Genomic DNA, 21,073 nt, shown 5'->3' with positions numbered 1-21,073 from the left:
TTAAGAGTCTTCTGCTGTCTCATCATTGGGTCTCTCTGACTTTTCAAAGAAGCTCTCCAGTGTCGTTTGCTTTTTACTCATTTTAGCTAGGGTTAGCTTGTGGGCTTACCAAAACTGTGACTGAGACAAGTGTTCAGTGCAGCAAAGAGGCACAGACAGAAGTGGTAAATAAAATAATGGGCAGGCCATGCACAGACTAAATTAAGTGTCAGATTCTGACTTAAAACTTGCCACCAGATAGAGCTGTGCAATTGAAATACATTGACTCACTTGCCTCTATAAAGTCTGCCACCAGATGCAGCTTAATTGTCACTTGCCACTCACTGATAGGGTTTTGATATGAGTCCCCAGCAACAAAATACCTACCTCCTAGCTATGCTGCCTCAGCTGCACCTCAGATCATCAGGCATTAGATTCTCATAAACAGTGCACAACCTAGATCCCTTGCATGTGCAGTTCACAGTAGGGTTCACACTCCTATGAGAATCTAATGCTGCTGCTGATCTGAGAGGAGGTGGAGCTCAGGTGGTAATGCAAGTGATGGGGAGTGATGGGGAGTAATGCAAGTGATGGGAGCTATAAATACAGATGAAGGTTTGCTGGCTAGCCTGCCGCTCACCTCCTGCTGTGCAGCCCAGTTCCTAACAGGCCATGAACAGTACTGGTCAGTGCCCCTGGAGGTTGGGGACCCCTGCTCTACCTAATGCCTGTTATCTATGGGGTCTTCCAATTTGGCTGGTGAGAACTGAAATTATTCCTGGTTTGTATATGCTCCAAGTATTCTTCTCTTCATACTTTCAGGTGATTCTTCCCCTGGCCTTGGGGTGCTTTGTCACATGCATGTACTGATAGGTGCACAGCTGAAGAGCTGAGATCTTTTGCAGATCTCTGAGGTTCTCTCTGTGCATCTATTTTCTTTCTGGTACTCTGCTCTACAAACTCCAGCTGCCTTGACCACTCTGGAATTTCAACTTTGTCTCCTCAACTCAGGGACACCACAGAACCTCAAAGGATCCTCCTCCCTCTGCCATGGTCGGGAAACTCTTTCCAGCTAGTAATGTTGGGCAATTGCAGTACTCACCTTGTTTGTTTCCCATCTCAGTGTTTACTGTCCTTGATTGTCTGATGTCCTATGTCTTGAAAACCAGCGTTTCATAAACTTTGTCTGGGTTTCCAATTATTGAAGATAGAAGGGTATGTCTTTTCCCTGTTATTCCATCTTGGTTGGTGGGGAAAGCCTGCCTGGCATTCTTCTAAGTGCTGAATCTATTGGGAGTGAACAAAACAGACAAAGTCCTCGGCTTCAAACAGCTTACATGCTAGAAAGAAAATGCAGACAATAAATACATGAAAAAAATTAATATGCATAAACAAGTGTTTTCTGAAAATAAGTGCTGTTGACAAAAAGGTAACAGGCCTCTCTGGGGAGGTGACATTTGAGGAGATGAATTACAAGAAGGGGATTGTCACTGGAAGAGCTAAGATAAGAGTGTTCTAAGATAAGGAGATATGACAACTCCAAATGCTCCAAAACAGAAATAAGTTTGGCTCGCTTGATGGGGCAGATGAGGTCAGGGTGGCTGGGGCGTATTTGAGGTGGTAGATGAAGTTTGCACAGTAGGTTAAGCTCAGAGTAAAAAGGGCCTTACAGATTGTTGTTCCAAATACCCATTGCTACGTACAAATACCCCAGAATTCAGTGGGTTAGAACATACAACAATAATTCATTTTGCTCACAAGTCTGGGGGGTGCCTGGGGTCAGCTAGGCAGCTCTCAGGATCTCCGGTATGGTTGTCGTCAGCTGGTGGCTGGAGCTGGGGTCACCTCAACACTTCTCCATTCACAAGTCTGGAGCCTGGATTAGGCAGAAAACCAACTGGAGGCTGGAATCTTTCTGGTTCACTGGCTATCTTTCTCGTTCTCTTTGTGGTCTCTCCGTGTACACTTAGGATAGCCTAACTTCTTACATGGTGGATGAAATGCTTCTGAGCAAGTATCTCAAGAGAAACTGCCAGAAGCTGCAGGGTATTTTCAAATCTAGCCTTGAAAGTCACAGTGTCACTTGTATCGCATTCGGTTTATCAAGGTAGTCACCAAGACCCACCCACATTCAAGGGGAGGAGATATAGACTCGATTAATTTCTTCCTGGGAGAATGTCAAACAATGTGCAGACATGTTTTAAAACCACCATAGGCATGGCAAAGAGTTTGGATTATATCATTCCAAGGGAAAGTCATTGGTGGATTTTTTTGTTTGTTTTTGAAACAGGGTCTTGCTCTGTCACCCAAGCTGGAGTGTACTGGCTCGATCATGGCTCACTGCAGCTTCAACCTCCCAGGCTCAAGCAATCCTCCCACCTCAGCCTACCGAGTAGTTGCAAGTACAGATGTGCACCACCATGCCCAGCTAATTAAAAAAAAAAAAACTTTTTGTAGAGACAGGGTCTCACTAGGCTTGGATTTTTAAAAAGAGAATGACGTGCAATGATATACAATTTTAATCAACTGCTCCATCAGGATTACTAGATACAAAATAAGATAATCAATTAGTATTTTTATATACCAGCAAAAAAATTAGAAATTAGCCAGATGTGTTGGTGCATGCCTGTAGACCCAGCTACTTGGGAGGTTGCAGCAGGAGGTTTGCTTGAGCCCCGGAGGTTGAGGCTGCAGTGAGCCATGTTTACACCACTGCACTCCAGCCTGGGTGACAGGGCAAGACCCTGTCTCAAAAGAAAAAAAATAGAAAATAAAATTTAAAAATGATACCACTTACAAAAACATTTTAAAAAATCAACTACCTAGGAACAAACTGAACAAAAATGTGTAAGACCTTTATGAAGTAAATAACGTAATTTTATTGAGAGACTAAAGGTTTATACCATTTCCAAGGACTCTACGGGTGATTACTGTACAAATGTCAGTTCTCAAATTGGTCCACAGATTCAATGCAATACCATTCAAAATAACCGCAGTTTTTTTCTGTAGAATTTGACAAATGAATTCTAAAATGTATAGGAGAATGCAAAAGATTAAGAATAGCAAGCTACTCTTGGAAGAGGAGGAGGAAAAGCAAGAGGGTGAGGAGGCACTTGCTGTATTCGACATAAGACTTACTATAAACTCACAGTAATTAAAGCAGTGTGATATTATTACAAGCAACACAAATAGAAAAATGGATAGACAAACAGATGAATGTAATAGAAGAGCCCAGAAACACACCCATGCATATAGGGACACTTGTTTTTGTTTTGTTTGTTTGTTTGGAGACGGAGTTTCGCTCTTGTTGCCCAGGCTGGAGTACAATGGTGCCATCTCGGATCACCGCAGCCTCTGCCTCCCAGATTCAAGCGATTCTCCTGCCTGTGGCCCTTTGGGGAGTCCAGACCTAGGAGCTCCCCGAACCAGGGCTCTTACACCCTCTTTGGGACTCTGCAGTTCCTGGTGTCGCCAAGCTTCTGGGAGCCACCACATTCCCTGGTACCATCAGCAGAAGCTGCTCGTGGTATGCCTGGTCCAGCCGCAACCTCACAGGGAGCCAGTGCCCATGCTGGCTCCTGGAGCTGCCCAACCTGCCATAGCTGATGTGCCTGGCTGTGGGCAGTGGCCAGACCCCACACTTGCTCGCTCATGCACCCCTTGCTGCTCTGTGCCTGGCTTACCCTTGGCAGGTGTGGGATCTGGGCTGGTAGCATGAGCTGAGTGCAGCCTGCCAGGCTGAGTGGGCAGAAGGAACCTAGTGGGCCCAAGCAAAACTTGGGCAAAGGCACCACCAGCCACAGAGATTTCTGGCTGGCAAAGCCACATCCCGAGGATCCCATGATAATAGGAGGAGGGGTTTTTGTTGTTGTTGTTTTTCAGACTTGTGGGACAATGACAGAAGGTTAAAGTGGTAATTTAAAAACTCTTTGGAGGGCTGGGTGCAGTGGCTCATGCCTGTAATCCCAGCACTTTGGGAGGCAAAGGTGGAGGATCACTTGAGCCCAGGAGTTTGAGACCAGCCTAGGCAACATGGTGAAACCCCATCTCTACAAAAAATACATAAATTAGCCGGGAGTGGTGGCACATACCTGTGGTCCCAGCTACTTGGAAGGCTGAGGTGGGAGGATCGCTTGAGCCTGGGACCAGAGGTTGCAGTGAGCTGAGATCACACCACTGCACTCCAGCCTCAGTGACAGAGTGAGACCCTGTCTCCCACACACACACACACACACACACACACACACACACACCCCTCTTTGGAATCTCTGATTTAGTATATGATTTAGGCACAACTCTCCCTTTCATACACACCAAATACCTTATGACATTAAAACATTTATCACTGGGCTGAATGAGAGTTAATTTTGTTTTGATAGATGTTTCAGATTCTTTTACAGTCCTCACACAATGTTTACTGTGAACCAGGCACCGTTCTAAGGACTTTACCTGTATTAATTCTCTCAACAATGCTGTGACGTCATCCTCATTTTACAGATGAAGAAAACAAGGCACTGAGAGCTTGGTTAAGTAACTTTGCTGAGGTCGCAGAACTGGAATTTGAAGCCTGGCAGTCTGACTTTAGAGTCCATATTCTTAACTGAGGTGCTAGACTGCATCTTTCTTTGGAAAAAAGGGAAGAGGATATCATAAATTCGGGAACTTCCTCAGGCTTCTTCTGTTAGCTTACAAACTATGGTTAGCATTTTCATATGACATACGAGAACAATTATCTCCTCCTCTACTTTATCCCTATTGCTTAATCCTTTGGCTTTTCAGTAACACCCAAAGACAACCAGTCATTCTCTCCAGTGAGTCTCAGAGTTAAAAATTTAGCTGTCTTCAATAAGAATGATACATTGGACTTTGGGGACTCGGGAGCTCAGGGGTAAGGGGAAGGCTAATGAGGGACAAAAGACTACACATTGGATACAGTGTACATTGCTCGGACGCACCAAAATCTCAGAAATCACCACTAAAAACCTTATTCATGTAACCAAACGCCACCTGTTACCCCCAAAAATCGATTGAAATAAAACAATAATTTAAAAAAGCACATACCCCCCAAAACATAGTTGACCTCAGCTTAAAAAAAACTAACATACATTTGTTATTTTAAAAAATATTGCATAGTTTATTTGCATTCATTGGTCAGCATCCTCAGTTATGTCTGCTTTGAAAGAAAAATCCGCTGAGGTTTTAAGTTAATGATCCAAGATATCCAATTAAGATTTTCAGCTTTGAAAAATATGGAAATACGGTACAGCTGTGTACTGGATGTGCTGTGCTACTGTTAAGTTCCAGCACTTTAAGGAACGTTTCAGGAGTGACTAATACACTAATTCATTACCAGAGGTCACAGAGCTGTCATAATTGACAGTGTTCTTTGAGTACGAAAAACCGGAAAACGATGCAACTTCCAAAGCACGGAGGATGGAGACTGGTATTGGAAAGTAACTTTTCTGCTGGGCTCAGGAGTTTTTATATGCTCAAGCTATAGACAACTGTACCAACGCAATAGACTAATGTAATCTAACTATTCTACAAACGGCCACACCTACCCAGACTAACTGGAAAACAATAGTTTATAACTGGAATTAAATAGTTGCTGTTCTTTAATTAATGAGATCGGTGTTCTTGAAAAGCTACAGCGTACGAACTCTACCCTGGTCCATATCTGCTTTTTAAAGCCTTCCCCAGAACCGCTCTCACTTCAGCCTTGGTGCCTTCCCGGATATACCCTCCAGAGGCTTCCCCGGTCCCCATCCTGGACGTCAGCCTCTGCACCTAGAGGCCGGCTTAGAGGGAAGACGGGCAGAGGCGGGGGAGACAGGAGAGAGAGAAACGGTCTATTCCTCCTTAACTCCGGGCCCCCTCGAGGGCCTCACCCCTCCTCCCGGGGGCTGAGATTGGAGAGGAAGTGGGAAGGCTCCAATCTGTTCCTCACTCCAGCGCCCTCATGCCCCCACCCTTCTCTTCAGCTCGGGGCTTCGGCGCGCCTCGTCCCCGCCCTTCGCCCCGGGAGAGGAGCGGGCGGCGTGGGAGGGCTCGCGGAGAAAGGCCCAGGGGAGTGGACGACCTCCGCCCGGCAGCCACATCCTCAGCAGCAGAGACCCGGAGCCATCCGCCCGCGGGCGAGCCAGGCCCGAGGGCAGCCCCGGAGACCGCGGTGGCCGGATGCGCGGGCGCGTCACTTCCGGGCGGTGCAGCGGCGGCCGCTTGGAAGATGGCTGCGCCCTGTGGCTCGGAGCTGCCCGCCAACTCGCCGCTAAAAATTCCGAAGATGGAGGTGCTTTCCCCGGCTTCTCCTGGTGGCCTGAGCGACGGAAATCCATCGCTGTCCGACCCTTCCACGCCTCGGGGTGCCTCCCCGCTCGGGCCGGGCAGTGCGGCGGGCTCGGGGGCAGCGGCGTCCGGGGGTCTCGGGCTGGGGCTGGGGGGCCGCAGCGCCGCCTCGTCCTCGGTCTCCTTCTCCCCTGGTGGCGGCGGTGGCGGGGCTGCGGCAGCCGCCGCCGCCGCCTGCCGGGGCATGTCGTGGACGCCAGCCGAGACGAACGCGCTCATCGCAGTGTGGGGCAACGAGCGGCTGGTGGAGGCGCGGTACCAGCAGCTGGAGGGAGCCGGCACGGTGTTCGGCAGCAAGGCCCCCGGGCCAGCCATGTACGAGCGCGTGTCCCGGGCCCTGGCCGAGCTGGGCTACGAGCGGACCCCGTCCCAGTGCCGGGAGCGCATCAAGGTAACCGGCCGCCCGGCCTGGGGCAGCGAACCAGAGGCAGAGAGAAGGCGGGGAAGCGGGCCTCGGGGGCGGGGGCCGGTCTGAGGGCAGGGCTCTCCTCCGGGGCCCGGTGGGCGATTCGCATCTCCTCCGCCTTTTTCTTCTCTCCCTGGGAAGGGGGCTTTTTCCCAGATGGCCGCCAGCCCGTAGGTTTCCTGAGTTTGAAGTTGGGCGTGCCTGCCGCCGCCCCTCTTTCTTGCCAATTGAGATGTTCCTGCGCTCTGAAGTTGGTAGTTTCTCATTGTGCGCCGTGCGGCAGTCCCCGTGCCGCTGGCGCCTCTTGCCCCCACCGCCGGGGCCCCTCGCTTTGTTCCAGGCGGAGGGGCTCCCAGGCAGAGGCTTACCGGCCGGGGCAGGATTGAGGAAGGGCAGAAGGGGGGGGCATTGAGCCCCTAGTTTAGGAATAGTTAATAAGTGGCCGTAGCGGAGCCATAGAAAAAGCGCCTTGGGACGACTGGCCTTTGTGTCAGTCGCTTTGCTTCTATCTTGAGCTACGAAGGACGAGTAAGACTAGAGATGCTTTGGAGAATTGGAAAGGCTTGATTGTAGCCAGATTGTGTATTGTTACCGCGGAGTTAGTGTACACCATAAAAGTTAGCTTGGCCAAGAGTTGGTCTGGAATTTGGATTGTCGATGCCTCCAGAGTTAGATTGGCTTGAGGCCCTGCGGTTTCTTAGGAAGCTCCTTCAGGAAAGCCAGTTTTTCCCTGCTTCAGTTTCTGTGCCGGATGTGGTGACAAGTAGAACTCTCAGTGTGCATCTGGCCGTCCTTGTGTACCTGCATGTTTAAATGCAGAGGCTTAATTTGGGCTAGAAATCTTAGCCAGGTTAAGATTTTGCTACTAGAACTGACTCTAGGCTTTCATATTTGTATTATTGGCAGATAAGGAGTTGTATTTTAGTTAAGCTCATTTCCTCATCGTAGTGGCTGCTAAAAAGATTGTGATAGGATTCTCCCAGTTTTTACTGAACTACTTATCCTATTATCTGTGCACTTCTTTTCTGATACAGCTGGCACTTTTTCTGGGAACTTCTTGAGGGGGGATAAAAACCACCAAGAACAATTATAAAATAAGAATGATCACACTAAAGAGCAATAATAAAGTCTAATAGGCGCAATCATGAGTTAGAGTAAGCTAAAGGAGGGAAATTGCACCAAAGTTCTCCAGGTCTTGGCTCCAGTAGTATTTCTTTGGGGATGTTGTTGCTTAGAAAACTGGGTCCACAAACTAAGATATTTAAAACCTACTATTGTTCAAGGAATTTGCCACCCATTAATTACTCCATTACAAATTTAAATTAGTGTATTTGATAACATTTATCTTTGGGACTTCTTAAGCTTTCTCTTTTTTTAACAAAGACATTAAAGTAGTAGCTAATAGGACAAAGCTACTCTTCTCTGAATCTCATTTGTTCTATTCAACGTCATTAAGGTTAAATTTTAATTTTTATTTATTTATATTTAGAGAGAGGATCTCCCTCTCTTGCCCAACCTGAAGAACTCCTGGGCTCAAACAATCCTCCCCAGTAGCTAGGACTGCAGGCATGCCCCACCACACCTGGCTCATTAAATTTTTTTTTTTTTTTTTTTTTTTTTTAAGAGACAGGGTCTTCTACGTTGCTCAGGCTGGTTTTAGCTCCCTGGTCTCAAGCTGTCCTGCCTCAGTCTCCCAAAGCACTAGGATTACAGGCGTGAGCCACCGTGCCCAGCCAAGGTTAAATTTTTGGGAGACTTTTTGTACTGTCTTGGCTAGCGTCTATCCATGACCTCTTCTTGAGTTTAGAAGTGCATTTTAGGCATTTTAAACTGTTTCAGCTTGATTGATTTCTGTCTGTAGAAACTTCCCAATCACGCAGAAAAAGTGTGTTGTCAAAACCTCACTGAATATAAATCTCTCCATAAAATTGTTTCTCAACCAGGGAGTATCTAATTGGGTTGTTTCATTGTCCAGTTATGAGAAGGATAACTTAAAGCAAGAAAAGGAGATTTATTTGAATAATTTTTAGAAGAGGATTGGTTTACCTGTGTCCAGACAGGTAAAACCAAGTTGACCTCAAGCTCTTAGGGTATTTTGGGAATGTGCTGATGAGTATGGGTTCTCTGATCCATAGTAGCTGTTAACAAGGAGGGCAGATAACTGTTTTGTGTTTTAAAGTGCTCTACTCTTTATGTGATTTCAATCAAAGAACCCAGACTTTTTCATTAGTAATGTTGAGTGTTCCTGCCAGAATGATAAGCTCTCTAAGGACAGGTTCTGGTCTCTCTTACTCACTGCTGTACTAGCATATAGTAGACACTACATTTTTTTTAATTTGTTTTATGTTTATTTTTAATGGAGGCAGGGTTTTGCTCTGTTGCCTAAGCTGGAGTGCAGTAACGTGATCATAGCTCACTGCAGCCTTGAACTCCTGGACCTAAGTGATGCTCCCACCTCAGCTTCCTGAGTAGCTAGGACTACAGGCATTTACTACCACGCCCAGCTAATTTTTAAATTTTGTATTTTTGTTTTTTTAGAAGCAGGGTCTCACTGTGTTGCCTAGACTGGTCTCAAACTCCTAGAATCAAGCGATCCGCCTGCCTTGGCCTCCCAAAGTGCTGGGATTATAGGCGAGAGCCACCACATCCGGCCTTATTTAATTAATTCACCAAATAAAGTCTAGAAAGAGAATATTGGAAAATATAAAAATCTGCAGCAGTATTATTCAATAATACTGCTGTTTAACGAAAAAACAGACTTTGGAACCCAGTCTGAAGAATACTGCATTTAAGGAGATTTAGTGTGAATGTAATCTTCAGCACAGAAGCAAATGTGGTCACTGAAATCATATTCCTACACAATTATGAAGTGGATGTTCAAGTAACTCAGATTATGCTTATGAAAATAAAACTGCTATCTTAAAATCTCAGAGAATCTCAAACCTCTGAAAAGAAGTCATTAGATCCCAGTTTCAGAAATGCAGATTTAAAACAAGTAGTTCAAAAATCTCTTTCACTTTGTGTTGATGAGAACTACAAAAAGAAACTTAGTAATACTTTTTGCTTTAGATTTTACAAAATAGAAGCAAAGTAGTAAGATGTGGAAAAGGAAAAGGAGGAACTTCTTACGCAGACTAAAGTACATGTGAACTCAATGTCAGAGGCTCACAGAGAAGGAATATGTGTGAGTCAATTACATTTCTGGGCTAATATATTTGAAATTCCTGTCAAAAATTCAATTATGAGCCGGGTACAGTAGCGCTTCCCTGTTGTCCCAGCTACTTTAGAGGGTGAGGTGGGAGGATCGCTTGAGCTCATGAATTTGAGGCTGCAGTGTGCCATGATCATAGCACCTGTAAATAGCCACTGTACTCCAGCTTGGGCAACATAGTGAGACCTGGTCTCTTAAAAAAAAAGAATTCAACTATGAAAACCCAGTAAATAATTTCTTCTAACTTTAAAAGGAAGAGCTATATAGCAACTTTAATTTTTCCATGCAAACCTTCCTTTAGTCAGATAATTTCTGATTAGCAGCCTTCCTCACATTGTATAAAGGATCAGAAAGCTGAGCCTTATTGCACCCTTTTCTGACCACCTTCCTGAATCACCTTAAAGCATGTCACTTACCTTCTTTGGACTGTGCCTTGGTCCTCTTATCTATACAGTAAAAATACTAAAATTATAAGTATTGAAATTGAATTAATAATTTAACTCTTGGATTTTGAGACTAACATCCTACTTTTTAATACTGTCTAAATGAACATGTTTCTAAGCACACAAGATTTTAATTTACAGTCAGATATGAAAATTTGTTTATTGCTGCAAAGTTTGATTTTGATGTCTGTCATCTTATTGGTATTTGTTCTGTCGTTTGGGTAAAACGGATGTGTTTGACACTGCCTTACTACATAGATTGTTTATCTTGAAGTTTTGTTGCATTTTTGTTTGTTTGCCAGAAGAAAATTTGTCTACTAACAATTCCAGCCCAATTTTGGAGTCAGATACACAAATCTAGGTAGTTTTTTATCTAGTGATTGCATGATTTTTCTCTTTTACTGTAGGCCTTTTCATATCTCCAGTCACCAAATACTTAAGTGCTTACTATGTGGAGGGCTGTCTGCTAGGTGTTAGGATGAATAAAAGAACTGTAGTTTTAAAAATAAAAATAAAAATAAAAGTATAATATACACTCCTGTAGTCCAAGAGCATAAAATCCAATTGAAGCTTGTGTACATACATCAATGAGTTAAAAAGCTGGTCAAGACAACACAAGGGATGGAATGCAAGGCGGTACTTGATTTAGTGTTATTTGCCTAAAGCAGACTATAAGTGTGATGACTTCAAAGGAGTGACCAGTCTCATCGCTGGCCATACTGTAGTAGTTGAAAGACCTATCTAGACTTGGAATTCATGAAAGCATTCACTCTGAGCCAGATGCTGCATTCACACTTCAGTCAGTTAATCTGATGCACTGCAAAACTCATTCTCAAGTCCCATATTTTTGGGTGTTCTCCAAAAATTTGCCTCTTGAGAGTTGGCTTTATGTCTTTGAAACAGATGTGTACTTCTAGCTGTGCCTCAAGATGAAATGCAAGGTGATTGAATGTGACCTAAAAGACTTGCCTTTTCTGAATCAGTGCTGGTCGCTCATCAGACAAATTTAAAAATGGTAAAAGAGGCCGGGCATGGTGGTTCATGCCTGTAATCGCAATACTTTGGGAGGCTGAGGCGGGCATATCACGTGAGCTCAGGAGTTGGAGACCAGCGTGGACAACGTGGTGACACCTGTCTCTACCAAAAATACAAAAAATTAGCCGGGCGTGGTGGCACACACTTGTAGTTACAGCTCCTCAGGAGGCTGAAGCGGGAGGATCGCTTGAGGTTGGGAGGTGGAGTTTGCAGTGAGCTGAGATTGAGCCACTGAACTTCAGCTTGGGTGACAGAGTGAGACCCTGTCTCAAAATAAATAAATAATAAATAAAAGATAAAAGAGTCTTCTGCCCAGAGAACAAAATGATTAATTTTCTGGGGACATTGCTTAGATTTATTCATCAGTAATTGTCATCATCTTTGGAACAAATTTTGTACTCTAACAGGAAAATCACCATATAGTATATTTGGTCTTTCATTTTAGCTCTGAAGCCTTGCAATTATTTATAAGAACCAACAGGGCAAAGATAACTAACTTGGAGCAAAAAGCTCTCATTGTCCCTGATAAGCATTTTAATAGACTCTGCCCATCTCTGAGGACTTCTCTTTGGCGTTTGCAGACAAGACATTTCTTCTATCTTCTCATTGAAAGATTTCTAAGAAATATGATAAGCTACTCAAATAGGTTTAGATTTATTTCCTGTTATTTTTTATATATTTAGTCTCTGTTGTTACCATCCCAATGTTACCTGAAATCTTGTGCCTTCCAGTTTGCTTATCTGCTTATGAATTTGACAGATGCTTGATGTGTATCCTCTAAGAATAGACCATCTTTGACTACCAATCATACACTTATATTTAAGATTTCAGTTTTAGAAGGAAAGGAGCTAAGAAGCACATGTTAAAACTGAATGAGTAGAATTCTGGGTTTATTTTCTGGCATTTTGGAAATACAGTGAAGGGTGGAGTTAAATATTCTGGTTACTTCATTAAGAGGACATGTTAAAGGAAAAAATAATTTAGAAAGCATGTAGTACAAATAGTACTGTTCCATAAAATTTTGTGATGATGGAAATATTCTCTATCTACCTCAGTTCAGTATGATAGCCACTGGTCACATGTGTCTGTTCAGCCCTTAAAATGTGTGGCATTGTGCCTGAGAAACAGAAATTTTAAATTATATTTAATTAATTCAGTTTTAAGTTATAAATAGGCATATGTGAGTAGTGGCTACCATATTGAACAGTTTCAGGTAAAAAGTTGTTATTCACAGTATTAAATTCATCTTTGTAAAAGGATTCTCCTGGCCACACACTCAAACCTCTAGGGGGAGCTCAAAGTTCCTTCTTGACCTTTCTGTCACTTTACCCCTGTGTAGGAGGAATCTTGATAAAAGTAAAAAAAAAAAATGGCCTGCCATTCCAGGAGGTGGTGCCAGGAATAAAAGTCTTATAACTTCAACTCACTGGGGCAAACAGTGCATATTCTAGGTTCCCTAGGACAGCCCTGTCCAATAGAATTTATTGTGATGATGGAAGTGTTCTGAATTTGCACTGTCCAGTACGGCATTACTAGCCACAGGTGGCTCTTGAGGACCTGAAATGTGGCTAGCGTGACTGCAAAATTGAATTTTTAATTTTATCTAATTTACATTTAAATAGTCACCTGTGGCTAGTGACTGTTTTGTTGGCCAGAACAGCTTTTGAATAATGGGTGTTCAGACTTTTTGCTTGTGTACTCCCAAAAGGCTTTGAAACCCATGTATCCTCTGGAAGATTTTTAAGCTGACATTAAAATTTTTCATGATGTGTTTGGAAATTTATACGAGGTTAGCAGGACATAGAAAATGTTAAGTCTGGTATGAGATGAATATGATGAGAGTTGGCGATAAAATGTACTGAATAACAAACTGAATCTGAAAAATACACATTAAATCATTATTTGTGAGTTTTATCAACTGTCTCTTGAAATTTTTGCTGTTTAGGAAATATTCAAGTTACATTTAAAAGAAACAGTATCACTGGCCTATATTGTTTTTGTTATTCTAAATTCAGGGGCCAGGATTGATAACTTAAACAATATAAATAAGAGGGGGAATGACAGGAATCCCTAAGGTTTCAAGTTGCCTCCATCAATTATTAAAGGAGACTACCCCAGTTAAAGACTGCTGCTTTAGAACTCAGTATCTTTTTGATATCTTTCTTGGCTGATGTAGTGGTGCTGGGCTCCTGAATTCCCTTGCCATTAGAAAGCCAGAGGGAAACAGGGAAAGGTTACAGGGGAAAAGTGTGGAGCTTAACTTTTGGCTAAAGTTCAGGTATCTGGAGGGGGGGAGGGGATTTAGATATTTTGCTCATTCCCTGTCATCAGATTCAACTGACAGATTCATCACAAGATTTCTTTAAATGCTAAGGTCTGAAATAAGGTCTTTATTTTTTTCATTATTCATCAACAGATAGTGCCTACTGCAGTAGGTCTGAGAGTTACGGTAGTATACCATCACCTTCAAGATGTCCATCTTGTAATAAAGGAGTCAGATTACTAAGGAACCAATTACAATATTGTGAACAAGGTCTTGTGTGTCATGTTAATGTTATGCTTATGGTGCTACAGGAGCACACACATCCTAGGCTTTCAAAAGGTGGATCCTGAAGGGTGAAGGTGGACTCAAAGGTAGATGAATAGTTAGTGTAAAAGCTCAGAGGCAGCATAACCTAGAATAGTGCCAACTGCAAATATAATGAGATATACTTACCAAAGAATGCAAAACTGGAAGCATCCAAACAGTGTTCAGCTGTTTAAAAAGTCATGCTTTTTAATTGAAGAATAATTTGCCAGTAGTGCATGGCATGTGGTGAAAGAGTGATGTGGGAGCCGTAAATGATGCCTTAGTGGTGTCATAATCACGTAGAATGGTGGAGCCAGTAGTTTTGGGATGACATTATAGTGAACATACCAATTCCAGGTCATTTATATGTTGTGATGAGTAACAACTTTTTTATGGTGTTGAATTGCAGTTGCGCAAATATCCATTACATATCTCATTTCTTAATTTGTATACTGGAAAGTAAAACCAAAACAGTGCATCTTTTTTTGACCACAACTCACAGGAAGAAGAAATATATTTTACCCTGGGACCTAGTAGTTTCATGACATATATGTATAACTGAAACAGATTTCACAAAACAGTGATTATAGCCAACACATAGTATTTTCTATGTGCCATGCACTATTCTAAGTGCTTTGTAAATATTAACTTAATCCACATAATGACACTATACTGAACTACATGTAATATACTCTGATATGTTCTGTTCTAATTGAAGGCAGACACTCCAGCTGTAGAGCCTCTTTCATAACAGTATACACAGTGAATGCACCTAACACAATACCTGCCCCTGGCGGGGGATCTTTCTCTGCCCCACATCCTCCTCCTCCCCAGTGCTTGTCAGCATTGGCTCCCCTTTTCACCCCAGTCTCTGTGGTACCTCTCATCTTTCCCCTTCCCCAGCCACAGCCTTGCCTGTCTCCAGAAATGCCCTCACCAAATGCTGGTGCAAAGAAAGTCTGGAAGGATGGAAGCTGCCGATCCCACTGATATTGGGCAGCGGGCTTACTCCTCGGAGACTGGCAGCTCAGGGTCACATTGGTGACCCTTCTGTCTGCACCCTTCTGTCGTTTCATTTATCCCTTCTCCAACTCTTGCCCTCAGCCATTTAGGAGAGTGACTCGCCTGACCTCCCAGTGCAGGTGGGGAGGGGTCCGGAAGTCTGTGCTTCTCACTCACCCTGTACACTGAGTTCTAAGGTTTTGATGATGTAGCCCGTAATGATGCCTTGTTTGTCTTGCACATTCACGGAGCAGCTGTAGGGGCCAGAGTCTCTCTCCTGGAGACCCTCCAGCCACAGGGACAGTTCTAGGAGGGCATGGAGTAGACCAAGGATACTCCAGGTTTGCTTGTTGTGACCCCATTGATGGTCAATGATGGCATTCTCCAAATGTCCCTCACATGCACCCATTCTTCCAACCTGAAACCAGCTCCCATTCACCTTTTGTCCCTAGCCCCCTTTCACTGTCCCTGGGTCCTCTTCACCAGAATAGTTCACTTCTTGGTCCCTTACACGTTATCTCTTCATCTCCTACTTGTGTTTAGAAAGGTGGTCACAACTTGCTAAAATTAATTGTACAACCCACTAATGGGCCATAACCTACAGTTAAATAAAAGAGGACTAGAAGATAATACAGTGAGATCAAGATTTTTTCATTCATTGTGTTCTTTTAGACTGAACCTATTGAAACTCCAGAAACATTAATTTGCAACATCTGTCCCAGATATTCTGGTGAAATTATATTACATAGTTTTAGATAGCTTGAGCCTAAGCTTTGAGATAAAGGGTGAAGCAGGGGAGTGGGAAGTAGTAAGAAATGAGACTGGAGACTTAAACAAGAGGTCAGGTGATACGCTAAGGCGTTTGGACTTTATTCTAATCATCAAAGGATTTTAAGCCAGGCAATGACATGGTTAGTCTTAAATTTTAAAACAGTCCCTGGCTGTAATATGGAGAATCAAAAGAGTAAGACTGGAAGCACAAAGATTATTTAGAGGCTTCTTGCAGTAAGCTAGATGGAAAGTGAAATAAAGCAGTGGTAACGAAGATGGAGACACAAGAATAAATTTCATATACATCAAAACCGAGGACCTGTTTCGAAGAATCTGGGAATTTTAATTTCCAGAATTTGTTAGATCCTAACCTGTGAGACAACTCACTATCTACTTCTCTACCAGCTTACACAGAGGGTTCTTGACTGCAGTCAAAGACCATAACAGTATTTCATAGCTGAAGTTTTCAGGCTTGATTTCTAAGAACCCAAGGAAAACCAACTGAAATACCAAATGAAGACAGTCCTGTCTGTATTTCCTCTACCATATACTCTCTGCAGACTCTTCAGTTCTGCTTCCCAGTCTTCAGAAGTGATTATCCTGCTTTCCCCCCCGACTTTTTCACAATATTACCAGAGAGTAAGAACTAAAATTCAGATCCAGTATTTCAAATGTTAAGTGTCATGTAGCTAGATACCTAGATTTGTGCTCCTAGTGTTACGTTAACGTAGAACCAGCAGTTGTTTTCTATGGAAAATTGTATCTGTGTAATGTTAAAACAAACGAAATAAAATAGAAGGAAAAACTTTCTGAGTTTCAAAAACAACAGACTAGTACTCTAAAGAACTCTTTAAAACAATTAACTGTTAGGATTGCAGTTATGATTGGATATTATTTAATTCTGTTTCTGATGTGGGGTTCCTCCACTGTGTTCTGTGTGCTATTAATATTTACCATTGCAGAAGCTTCATTCAGTGTTGAAAATGAATGCTTAGTGGATCTGTGCCTCTTATGCATATGTTACAAATTATCTGGAGTTCCTAATCAATGCAGAGTTCCCCTCCCCTCCGATTGTTCTAAATAATTGAAAGATGTCTGCTGTGGAAAAAGGCATGTATTTAAATCTGTATGATTCTCAACCATCTTTAGTTGGGAAAGGTCCTTGAAAGCCAATGGAAATACTTTTTTTTTTTCTTGGCACTAATCAAGTGAGTGTTACCTTTTCACTTAGTAGGATGTGTTGTTACGCTAGTAAAATAGAAACCTGTGTTTATTCTCAGGTATTTTAGAAACAACAGCCATCATTTTATTTTATGTGTGTGTTCTTGGCTGTATTCATAAATTATATATTTTGGGCTATCAAATATTACTTCATTCAATATAAATAACAATAGTAGAAGTTGTTTACTTAGATATGCTTTCTAGTTGCATTTTCTCAGCCTATGTAAGACTACTTTGTTGTAATAGCCTTTGAAATTTACAGTACTGTCTCTCTACTATCTTCAGATTACTTGATTCAAATAAACCAATTATGTTTGTAATTGATATTAATAAAACCAGAATAAAAGTTCATATCTACCCAAAACTGCTTTTATTATTTTTTTAAGTTGCAAATACTTTTCTCTAAAGGGAAATAGCTGGTTTATAATTTAGAAAGAATAGGATAGGTCAAAAAGCACTTCAACCTAATATTTGGTATCTCCACTACCTATACACCATCTTAAGGAATTTTCCATTCATTCATTCATCAAAGATGTATTGCACCCCATTAACATGTTAGGCATTGATTTGGGCTCTGGGAATACCTCAGTGAACAAAACTGACAAAACCCTGCCTTCAAAGAGCTTACATTTTGGTAGAAAATAATGTGATATTTAAAATATATAATTAAGCAATTAACACAATTAGGGAAAAAGACCCTCAAATATGATATTCATTGATAAATCCTTGAAGTTGAGCTCTTTCATTATGCTTATGAAAGAAATTCATTTGCTATTGTTATATTAAGAATGATTTACATGATTTTATATCATTCCTTTGTCTTGTGTATATCCAGTTGTCATTGAGGTTTGTACTACCAAGCAGCAAAGTGCTACATTCTTACTCATCAACCATCAGTTCATGAGCATCTGCTGTTGTGCCAGGCATTATGTGGAGCCCTAAAGAGTCAGTTTTAAGGAAAACCAGGAGAGATCCCTTCTCTGTTATACAGTTTAGGAAACATGGTTAATAGTTGGTTGGGCCTTGAGCAGTCAGAGTTGTGCCAATTTTACAACAGTACAAATAATTACTTTTTTCCTTATGTAAGTAATATAAGCACACTATAAAATTAAGAGGAAAAATCAGGAAAAAAATTCTAACTTCTTCACTGCAGCATAACCATATATTCATGAAACCTTTTGTTATTTTTCAAGAAACAGTAGTGGTAAGTCTGATTTTAATTCCAGTAAATTTTGATGCACCAAAAAAGGAATGAAAGATCTACATGCTTTTTATTTTGTTTAACTCCAAGAGCATATGTGGGTTATTCATATTTCTTATTTCTATTCATGCTGAGTTTTGCCTGTCTTCTGCTTCTTGTAAACAGGTTGCCCAGCGAGTGAGGCCTATTCCTCACTCTGCATGGGTAGTTAGGATTCCTTTTTCCCCATTGGTTTATATGTCAGTGTGTTAGTCACCATATTCTTGCCAAGGCTATAAATCTTTCAAAATGATTAATTAATTGGCTTTTTTTTTTTTTTTTGAGACAGGGTCTTGCTCTGTTGCCCAAGCTAGAGTGCGGTGGCACGATCACCTCAACCTCCCCAGGCTCAGGTGATCCTTGCACCTCAGCCTCCTGGTAGCTGGGCCTACAGGCATGCAGCACTAAGCCCAGCTAATTGTTGTATTTTTTTGTAGAGATGGGGTTTTGCCATGTTGCCCAGGCTGGTCTCTTAACTCCTGGGCTCAAGCAATCTGCCCACTTTGGCCTCCGAAAGTGCTGGGAGCCACCACCCCCAGCACTAATTGGCTTTTATCTATAAAGGAAGAACTGAGCAAAAAAGTCAAAGAAGCTATGGCAGTATAGCCAGATGTTTGTGAAACTCGAATAATGTATGAGCAAAAAGATGTTTATTTTCATAGGTACTCCTAGGTATAAACTCCTTTTACCTATAGAGTTCACATGTTAACACAAACAGTTGTGTGAAATACTTTGAATAAAATGAAAAATCAAAAAAATCATTGAGACCAGCCTGGCCAGTATGGTGAAACCCCGTATCTACTAAAAATACAAAAATTAGCCGGGTTTGGTGGTGCACACCTATAGTCCCAGCTACTCGGGAGGCTGAGGCAGAACAATCACTTGAACCCAGGAGGTGGAGGTTGCAGTGAGCCAAGATCGTGCCACTGCACTCCATCCAGCCTGGGCAACACAGCAAGACTCCAACTCCAAAAAAAGAAAAGTCAAGTTGGCATTCGTTTAATGATGCTTTAGATGATGTGGTTTAGCTGAAGCTTGCTTTTCTCAACATGACTCTGACACTGATTGCTAGGGTAAGGGTTCTTTTGAGTATGTTACTCCTACATGTTATTCCTACCCGTGTTGCGCCTCGTGATACCACACTTTGCTGCACTACTTTATTTGAACTAACCTTAATTCATAAGGCCCCTTGGTCTCCATATGGTGTGACTGTATCATTTTTGTAATAATTATAATAATAATGCAAACATTTACTGAGTGCAGGCAATTGAGCAGACACTTTTAAATGCTGTTTTCTCATTTAATACAGCAAATCTATGATGGAGGTACTGTTACCAGCCCCACCATATAGATGAAGAAATTAAGGCACAGATAGATTAATTTGTCACAAAGCTTGCAGGTGGTGACACCAAGCAGTGTTTCTCTGGAACCCATGCTCTTCTTAACCACTTGCTTATATCACCTTTTTCTGAATCAGCCCATCTTTATTAAATTTTGACAATTGAAGTCATGTTTTTGGCAACGACGTGATTATCAACATTCATAAATACGATACCAAAATCATATAGTAACACCCAGATGGACAGCATTATGCTGATATTTCTTGTCATTGAAATGAAAAGAATTTTTTAAATTCTTGGAGATAATTTATCGTTTCCTAAGATTAGAAACACAAGGAGATTTGGAAGTCCTGAGGAAGAATTTAAGATAAGTATTGAAACCTAATAAGTAAAGACTTAATTGTATTCATTCAGTCATTCATTCAAGATCTCAGATAAATGATGGCATTTATTGGATCACCAACTCCTCCAAAAAGAAGTAAGTTTGAATTATAGGAGCAGAAACACAATGTAGAATTACTTTTTGACAGTAAAAGCAGGTAAGGATGTGGCTTATCAAAGGAGGCTATGGAATGTTCACTACCTTATGCCTGCCATTGTTTACCTAATGTGTAAATGGTTTGGGTGCTTCTTAGAGATAGATGATGGGGATGAGATGAACTGTTTTTTAATATATGATATACCAAACAAAACATATCAGCATATTGAGAAAGCTAAAAGTAGAATCAGGAAATAAGAAAACAGAGAATGCCAGCTTGGCGTGGTGGTGCACTCCTATAGTCCCAGCTACTCGGGAGGCTCAGGCAGGAGGATCACTTGAGCCCAGGAGTTTGAGGCTGTTGTGCATAATGCTTGCCCCTATGAATAGTCACTGCACTCCAGCCTGGGCAACACAGACCCCATACTAAAAAAAAAAAAAAAAAAAAAAGAAGAAATGATGCAGGGCAAATAGCAGTAACCTAGGTAAATATGTTTACTTAAACTAAATATTAAAATGAGCTATGAGCTTCCTGGCAATGGTAGCAAAAAAGTAAATACAGTGACTTGCCATAATTTTCAGTGTCTTCTGAAGAGAAGTATACCAGGTCTTAGTTTTGAAACCAAAGATGAACTTACATTAAAGACACTGAAAGTGACTTTGGATAAGCTCTTAATGTTTCTCTGCCTTGTTAATAATTTTCTTGTCTGTAAAATAGGGGTGTACCATATATAAATATGATACATATATCTTAATATATATGTAATATATACATAAGATACATATATCTTAATATATATATAACATGCTACCCAGATCCCTCTTCCAGGAATGAGACGCTAGTCCCCCCCCAGCTGTCTGGAATGCTGACTGCTGGTGGCTTCTGGTTGATTTCTTCAGAATTTCACTCTGCCCAAGGCAACTGTCTCACCCAAGGTGAGGGCCCCCCACTCTCTGGTGGCAGCCTGAATCCAATGACTGGTCAGTGCTGAAATACCAAGGTCCAACCTTGCCTCAATTCGGTATAACTCTG

At 41.9% G+C, this 21,073-nt stretch overlaps 1 protein-coding gene and 1 long non-coding RNA gene across 7 annotated transcripts in view, besides 7 other annotated features; one reads left to right on the top strand and one right to left on the bottom strand.

The window, feature by feature from the left end:
• Positions 1-6,158, bottom strand: part of MSANTD2-AS1 (MSANTD2 antisense RNA 1) — a 34,060-nt gene extending 27,902 nt beyond the window's left edge. The window contains exons 1-4 of the long non-coding RNA NR_103862.1: positions 5,330-6,158; positions 4,429-4,602; positions 1,738-1,855; positions 1,082-1,266 (exon numbers count right to left, since the gene is read on the bottom strand). This is a non-coding gene — a long non-coding RNA (MSANTD2 antisense RNA 1). The remainder of the gene's footprint in view (positions 1-1,081; positions 1,267-1,737; positions 1,856-4,428; positions 4,603-5,329) is intronic.
• Positions 5,828-6,497: a silencer, noted in NCBI's record as "silent region_4033". NCBI's record gives its function as "represses an Ori minimal core promoter by ATAC-STARR-seq in GM12878 lymphoblastoid cells {active_cell/tissue: GM12878}" and the evidence as "EXISTENCE:reporter gene assay evidence [ECO:0000049][PMID:35858748]".
• Positions 5,828-6,777: a biological region, named in NCBI's record as "NANOG-H3K27ac-H3K4me1 hESC enhancer GRCh37_chr11:124669881-124670488".
• Positions 5,994-6,601: an enhancer, noted in NCBI's record as "NANOG-H3K27ac-H3K4me1 hESC enhancer chr11:124669881-124670488 (GRCh37/hg19 assembly coordinates)". NCBI's record gives its function as "activates a minimal SCP1, AML or CMV promoter by ChIP-STARR-seq in naive H9 embryonic stem cells {active_cell/tissue: H9 hESC(naive)}" and the evidence as "EXISTENCE:reporter gene assay evidence [ECO:0000049][PMID:30033119]".
• MSANTD2 (Myb/SANT DNA binding domain containing 2) overlaps positions 6,180-21,073 on the top strand; it is a 33,909-nt gene continuing 19,015 nt past the window's right edge. For all 6 annotated transcript variants that reach the window (NM_001312919.2, NM_024631.4, NM_001312921.2 and 3 more), the window contains exon 1: positions 6,180-6,715. In NM_001312919.2, coding sequence (NP_001299848.1) covers positions 6,206-6,715 — 510 coding nt within the window. In that variant the 5' untranslated portion in view covers positions 6,180-6,205. The remainder of the gene's footprint in view (positions 6,716-21,073) is intronic.
• Positions 6,538-6,777: a silencer, noted in NCBI's record as "silent region_4032". NCBI's record gives its function as "represses an Ori minimal core promoter by ATAC-STARR-seq in GM12878 lymphoblastoid cells {active_cell/tissue: GM12878}" and the evidence as "EXISTENCE:reporter gene assay evidence [ECO:0000049][PMID:35858748]".
• Positions 7,178-7,257: a silencer, noted in NCBI's record as "silent region_4031". NCBI's record gives its function as "represses an Ori minimal core promoter by ATAC-STARR-seq in GM12878 lymphoblastoid cells {active_cell/tissue: GM12878}" and the evidence as "EXISTENCE:reporter gene assay evidence [ECO:0000049][PMID:35858748]".
• Positions 7,488-7,537: a silencer, noted in NCBI's record as "silent region_4030". NCBI's record gives its function as "represses an Ori minimal core promoter by ATAC-STARR-seq in GM12878 lymphoblastoid cells {active_cell/tissue: GM12878}" and the evidence as "EXISTENCE:reporter gene assay evidence [ECO:0000049][PMID:35858748]".
• Positions 12,815-13,316: an enhancer, noted in NCBI's record as "NANOG hESC enhancer chr11:124663166-124663667 (GRCh37/hg19 assembly coordinates)". NCBI's record gives its function as "activates a minimal SCP1, AML or CMV promoter by ChIP-STARR-seq in naive H9 embryonic stem cells {active_cell/tissue: H9 hESC(naive)}" and the evidence as "EXISTENCE:reporter gene assay evidence [ECO:0000049][PMID:30033119]".

Source organism: Homo sapiens, chromosome 11 (assembly GCF_000001405.40).
Source record: "Homo sapiens chromosome 11, GRCh38.p14 Primary Assembly".
Lineage (NCBI taxonomy): Eukaryota > Metazoa > Chordata > Mammalia > Primates > Hominidae > Homo > Homo sapiens.
The sequence above is the reverse complement of the archived record's forward strand: the minus strand, read 5'-3'. Positions and strand labels throughout refer to the sequence as shown.